Source organism: Homo sapiens, chromosome 1, assembly GCF_000001405.40.
Source record: "Homo sapiens chromosome 1, GRCh38.p14 Primary Assembly".
NCBI classification, from domain to species: domain Eukaryota; kingdom Metazoa; phylum Chordata; class Mammalia; order Primates; family Hominidae; genus Homo; species Homo sapiens.
The window spans coordinates 143900546-143906911 of record NC_000001.11 but is presented as its reverse complement, the minus strand read 5'-3'; the positions used below and the strand labels follow the sequence as shown (position 1 = coordinate 143906911).

The window sequence follows — 6366 nt, the reverse complement described above, 5'->3', positions numbered from 1 at the left end:
AACCACTATATTTACTGTTCTGAACAATACATACTTCAAAGCACATGAAATTGAAAAAGCAAAGCATCTTTACTCTCTTCATAGAGAACAGAAAAAAATATTAAACTTTTAAGCATTATAAAATACTTTATTGAATAAAATGTTAGCAAGTCAGCAATTGATGAATAATTTGCTTTGAAACTTTAACTTGTAATCTGGCTAATTAGCACTAATTTACAAACTATTCTACATTGTAAAGGAGAAATGAATTTCTGGTGTTGTCCTTCTTTGATTTAGAAGCTTAACATCTGCAGGACCTAATTGGCCATTGATGTGAGGGTGAGGAAGAAGGAACCACATCGCAGGGAGAAAAGACTAAAGGAAGGCAGAGGCTCTAATATCAGGTCAATATAGGTCAGCACACTACCCACATGAAATGGCTTTGGCTGGGTTCCAAGGTCAAGTAAATAAGATCAATTTTTTCATTCCTTCAATTACATATTTTTTTGCTAAGCTTCGGTCATTCATGGTATACAATGCATCTAACTTGCTGAGCAAAATGCTAGACATGAAATAAATGTTAGCTATGGTAGAAGAGCTTCAGTAACAGGTAACCTGAAACAGGCTGATAGCTCATAGAAGGGCATGCTTGAATTCGGGGAAAAAAAAAAATCTCTGTTAAAATGGGATGCAAAACACTTTATACATTGCTTTTACAAAAGTTAGACTAATTTAAAGGAAAGTCTTCAAAAGCAATCCGTGATCGATAAAATTACAGAAAAAAATCAGGAAAGGGGGAAATAATAAGGGAAGAAAGATTAGCAGAACAATCTTCCGCCCCAGTAAAGAGGACTGAATTTTAACCAATGAGATCACAAGTTTGAAAATTTCCTTTTCAGGCCCAATCAAGAGGAGGCTATGTCTATAAATACGACTGCCTAGACCCTCTCGTATCAATGAGACAGCATGGCCCGTACTAAGCAGACTGCCCGCAAGTCGACCGGCGGCAAGGCCCCGAGGAAGCAGCTGGCTACCAAAGCGGCCCGCAAGAGCGCGCCGGCCACGGGCGGGGTGAAGAAGCCGCACCGCTACCGGCCCGGCACCGTGGCTCTGCGGGAGATCCGGCGCTATCAGAAGTCTACGGAGCTGCTGATCCGCAAGCTGCCCTTCCAGCGGCTGGTACGCGAGATCGCGCAGGAGTTTAAGACGGACCTGCGCTTCCAGAGCTCGGCCGTGATGGCGCTGCAGGAGGCCAGAGAGGCCTACCTGGTGGGGCTGTTCGAAGACACGAACCTGTGCGCCATCCATGCCAAGCGCGTGACCATCATGCCCAAGGACATCCAGTTGGTCAGCCGCATCCGCGGGGAGCGGGCCTAAGGTATATTTTTAAGTGGTCGATCTAAAGGCTCTTTTCAGAGCCACTGCCGTTTTCATCAAGAGCAGCTGTACCGGCTCTCCATCTGATGTGCGTCTGCCTTGCGCAGCGGTCAGGGGCCAGGGGCACTCGTGGTGGGTGACGTTACAGAACCCAAAGCCCAGCCGTGAGTTGGCCGGCAGTAGAGAAAGCCGCAGAGGCATGGTCCTTGTGGTTCCGGCCGAGCCTTTTCACGCTGGTTTAAGGCTAGAGGTCCGGCTCCCAATTCTGTGGGTAAAGTTTTGCATGGGGGCAAGAGACTATGGGGAGTTTCTAGATGTGGAAGATCCTGAGTGTAAGGGTGGGGCGAGTCCCTTAAAAATTATAAACTCGTTTCCTGGTTTATTTAGGAACTATAAGCTTAATTAAAGCTCAGCATCTTCCTCATTGCATACTACAGGCGGTGTCCAAGCCAGAATAGTAATTTAAGCGGGCGGGAGTAAATATCTGGCGATTTTTAAAAATGTGTGGGTGAGGTAGTATTTCAAGGAAGAGAAAAAAATTTCCACAAAGTATAGAATAAAAATGCAAAAACGAGGCAAGAGAGTTAACTTGTCTAGCTGGCGTTAAGATTTCTTCCGTATGCAAGTCTAATGGAAAGTGAAAACCAAGAAAAAAACCTCAAGCCGTTGAAACTATCGCTTCACCTAGCTTAAAACTGGTTAGTGTGAAATGGACCATTCTGATTGGATAACAAGACTTTTGTTACAGTGACCATTAAGGAAGCAAGACTAGAATCTATTATTTACATAGACTCCACCCCCTCTGACGACACCGTTGTAAGTTAACCAATTAAAGCGCAGCACTTTGCGAGTCTTCATTTGCATACAGGCTCTATAAGTAGCGCATAACCAGCCCGTTTTGCGGTAGTTCGGATTACTTCTTTAAGTCTCTGTTCTCTTTTTTCGCGCAAAAATGCCGGATCCAGCGAAATCCGCTCCTGCTCCCAAGAAGGGCTCCAAAAAGGCTGTTACGAAAGTGCAGAAGAAGGACGGCGAGAAGCGCAAGCGCAGCCGCAAGGAGAGCTACTCCGTTTACGTGTAGGAGGTGCTGAAGCAGGTCCACCCCGACACCGGCATCTCGTCCAAGACCATGGGCATCATGAACTCCTTCGTCAACGACATCTTCGAGCGCATCGCGGGAGAGGCGTCCCGCCTGGCGCACTACAACAAGCGCTCCACCATCACGTCCCGCGAGATCCAGACGGCCGTGCGCCTGCTGCTGCCCGGCGAGCTGGCCAAGCACGCCGTGTCCGAGGGCACCAAGGCGGTCACCAAGTACACCAGCTCGAAGTAAGAGTGTGCAAGGGACGCAATAGATCAACCACCTAACCCCAAAGGCTCTTTTCAGAGCCACTTCAGTAATCGAGAAAGCAGCTGTAAACACTTGTCAGAGCGTTTGATAGCTTTTGGTCAGGTAGGGAGTGTTACCATGGTCACGGATGCATTCGGGTTTAGGACTAAGGAGTTTCCTGTAGTCCTGTAATGAGTTGGCCCTCAGTCATCCCCGTCTAGTCTTACTGAGTTGCTTGTTATCTGTGCTACGAGATTAGAAAGGTTTGACTCGTTCTGGGATATTTGGGAGGGATGGAGGGAAGGAGGCGGGGGGTGGTTCTACACCCCTTCAGCCTTTAACCTGTATCTTTAAAGTCGTTTTCCTTTTTGTTTCTGAAAGTAATGAACGAGATGAGATTTCCCATACAGATGAGAAACCCTCGGTCCAACCTCTTACTATTTCTTAGTGTTTTAATCTGTTTTCCTTACCATATACCTACAGGCGTCTGTCACAAACTTTGTCTAATATAGCCATGTGCTTTCGTCCCTTAGCCTTTTTGCAAGTCCTGACTTAGCCATCCTCCCCTAACTTCCATTCCAGTGACTTCAAACAGGGAGATATATTGCCACCACCCCACCCCCTGTGGAGTATTTGGCAATATCTGTAGATGTTTTGGGTTGTCAGGTGTGTGTGTGTTGGGGGGGAGGTGCTAGAAGTATCCAATGGGCAGAGGCCAGGAGTGCTAAGCATAAGGCACAGGACAGTCCTCTGGGGGGACAAAGAGCTACCTGGCCTGTAATGTCTATCTTTGGTGATTGAGAGACCCCAGCGCCCAAAGACATCCCTAACCTTCAGGATTTAATCCTCTTCAGTCAAACTTTTCCTTAACCCTATCAGCCCATGTTTTTCTTGGTGAAAGCTGAGCACTTCATAGGCTGTTTACAGGTCCTTCTCCACAGGAAAATACTTCCTCCAGGACAAGAACCCTGTCTTGGTTCCAAACTTTCCCAATTATAAGAGTCACCTTTGCGCTTGTTTTTTTTTTTTTTTTTGAGACGGAGTCTCGCTCTGTCGCCCAGGCCGGAGTGCACTGGCGGGATCTCGGCTCACTGCAAGCTCCGCCTCCCGGGTTCACGCCATTCTCCTGCCTCAGCCTCCCAAGTAGCTGGGACTACAGGCGTCCGCCACTACGCCCGGCTAATTTTTTGTATTTTTAGTAGAGACGGGGTTTCACCGTTTTAGCCGGGATGGTCTCGATCTCCTGACCTCGTGATCCGCCCGCCTCGGCCTCCCAAAGTGCTGGGATTACAGGCGTGAGCCACCGCGCCCGGCCTTGCGCTTGTTAAACCTGCTTCCAGGTGCTTCTCTTGAGGTTTCCTGATTCAGCGAGACTGGAGGTGGGACCTGACGAGGTGGTTGGTTTTTAGTGTTCTCAGGAGTGTGGATGTTTTAATAGGTGTTGGGTCCTCATGTTAATCGACCTGTGGGTGTGTCACAGTCTTTGTGTCACAGATGTTCTGAGAAAGGAAACAATTTGAGGATGAGTGGAGGGGAATTTGTGGTGTAGAGAAGGCCACAGTTAATATGTGGGGTGAATTTCTGAAGACCTCTCAGTTCAAAACTTGAATAACTCAAGACTCATCCTGACAAAAGCCAGTGGATGTTTCTTTTGCCAAATAAAATATACCCTTGGTGCAACTGGAAAATCTTAGCTTATAATTAACTTGACAGCCTTTGAAATTAAGCCATTCTTGATAAATCTTGGGGGAATTAACAACTTTGTGCTTAAAATGAATTTTACTAATTTTTATGATGTTGAAGTTCAAATTTACACCCAATTAAAAGATATAAAATGTGGTATACGTGATTATTTTTCCACTAGAAAATAAAGATTCCCAGTTTAGTCATCTTTTTCTGATCACCAGACAAGAGGTCAGGGAAAGATAACTGAGAATCCAAAATTTCCGTTGAAAGTAAAGAAATCATATATAGCACATTCTCTGGTAGGAAAGGTTACTCAGTAAGTGAGACGGCCGAGGTGGTCTATTTTCTATACAGTTGGGCCATAAGAGAATTTTTCCAATCTCCTCCTAGCTTAGGGTCCTGAAGTCAGGAGTTCCTTTTTTCTTAAGGATTAGGGACCATGTTTTTCAGGGCCTTTTGAAGTTGTTAAAGCATTGTCAACTGGCTCAACTACACAAATGCCATCATTTATTACCCACTGACCAAAAGATTAACTTCCAAATCCTCATCCTGACACTAAAGGCCACCTATTATCTAGCCAAAACTTACCTTCTTCACTTGTTCTCCCCAGTCCTCCAGCTTAGCCTAAATGTTCTACTGTCATGTAAAGCATCTTAACTTTGTCTTCTGTGCTTTTGTTACATTGTTCTGAGTTTTAGTACTCAGTCCTCTGGACTACTTGAAGCTTTTTATCAGTCTGTCAGTTCTTTTAAACTCTTGCTCAAATCTCACTCTGAGAAGCTTTTTCATCTCATTGTAGTTCACAGGGAAGTCTTTCTCTTAAGTCCTCATTCCTTGCATAACGAATAATTGTGTAGCTTTGTAAACTGTAGGCTTATTCCTCAATTTCTTTTTCTTGTTTTTACATTTTCTTGTCTGTCTTCTGCTAGAGACATATGCTTCTCGGTATTTATTCCACAAAGGCTATCCCAATGCCTACTATAAAATAGCTTCTCAATGAAAGTTTGTTGACTGGTTGCCAGTCAACAGAACACTAGAAAATTGATCTGAGAGTGGTGGGTTCTAGTAAATACTCTAGTAAATATTTTTCTCTACTTTTTTTCTAACTTTTTTTCTTACTCCTTTACTATGGATACTCTTTTTAATTATTGCCCTTCATAATTATTGGCCCAGTTGAAACAACTGTTATAGATTCAAAAATCCTCAGAGTGGTAAAGTACTACACTTGGCATCTTCCCTTGAGCCGATGTATCTATGTAGCTAAAATGATGAGATTAGAGTGGAGCTTTCTCACCCTGGTTTGAGGTGCTGCAGAAATGGTCTGCTTTTCTAGTGCCTTGAAAAAGGATGAGAAGAGAGGTGCATTCCAGAAGACAAAAGGTGTGTAGTATCAGGATAAGGGGCTTTAAATATCAGATCCAGAGAACACTGCACATGTAGAAATGGGCTTGGCCTGGGTCAGGGCATTGAGATTGGTTACATAATCTTTTCAAGGATTGGTGAATGAGTTGGAGTATGTGTAGAAACCTACAAAGATGACAGTTTAATCTCATGTCATAATTTTTAGACAAATAATGTATTTTAAAACTGGGTGCAGTTCCTAAAGCTGTTCTAAAAGTCAATGCAACTGAATTTGGAATGTAAGCATAGGACAACAGATGGGAAATAAGTACATGACCTCTGTGGGATAAAGTGAGAGTTATCAAAGAATGTCAGTGTTTATAACAAGGAACAAGCTTGTTTTGGAGAATTACTAGATATTATGGAAAATTTTTTTCTTTTCTACATTTGGTTAACTATAGCTGAACTATAGCAGATCATATGACTTGGCAAAAATAGAAAACTTGATAAAAATCTTCTAGGCCCCACAATGTCAACATGAACAAACTTCTGAAAAGTAAAAGTAGACCGTGTTTTCTCAGTATGTGTTATCAAATATATGTTGAACATATAATTTTTGCCCCTCAGCCAGGTTGTAATATTTTCCTTTAGTT

At 43.8% G+C, this 6366-nt stretch overlaps 1 protein-coding gene and 1 pseudogene across 5 annotated transcripts in view, besides 2 other annotated features; both read left to right on the top strand.

Moving 5' to 3' along the window:
- Positions 1–934: 934 nt before the first annotated feature.
- On the top strand, positions 935–4526 carry H3-7 (H3.7 histone (putative)). Of its 2 annotated transcripts, NM_001355409.3 has the most exons (2): positions 935–1357; positions 2322–4526. In NM_001355409.3, exon 1 carries the CDS (start codon positions 946–948, stop codon positions 1354–1356), a length of 411 nt encoding a protein of 136 aa, NP_001342338.1. In that variant the 5' UTR covers positions 935–945; the 3' UTR covers position 1357; positions 2322–4526. The 2 variants fall into 2 exon arrangements, with proteins under 2 accessions (NP_001342338.1, NP_001359034.1); NM_001372105.2 differs by lacking the exon at positions 2322–4526 and having other exon boundaries at positions 935–1402.
- Positions 2103–2603: an enhancer, noted in NCBI's record as "H3K27ac hESC enhancer chr1:149398885-149399385 (GRCh37/hg19 assembly coordinates)". NCBI's record gives its function as "activates a minimal SCP1, AML or CMV promoter by ChIP-STARR-seq in naive H9 embryonic stem cells {active_cell/tissue: H9 hESC(naive)}" and the evidence as "EXISTENCE:reporter gene assay evidence [ECO:0000049][PMID:30033119]".
- Positions 2262–6366, top strand: part of H2BP2 (H2B histone pseudogene 2) — a 57749-nt pseudogene continuing 53644 nt past the window's right edge. For all 3 annotated transcript variants that reach the window (NR_160915.1, NR_160913.1, NR_160914.1), the window contains exon 1: positions 2262–2685. The product of NR_160915.1 is annotated as a H2B histone pseudogene 2, transcript variant 3 (transcript). The remainder of the gene's footprint in view (positions 2686–6366) is intronic.
- Positions 4746–5381: an enhancer, noted in NCBI's record as "NANOG hESC enhancer chr1:149396107-149396742 (GRCh37/hg19 assembly coordinates)". NCBI's record gives its function as "activates a minimal SCP1, AML or CMV promoter by ChIP-STARR-seq in naive H9 embryonic stem cells {active_cell/tissue: H9 hESC(naive)}" and the evidence as "EXISTENCE:reporter gene assay evidence [ECO:0000049][PMID:30033119]".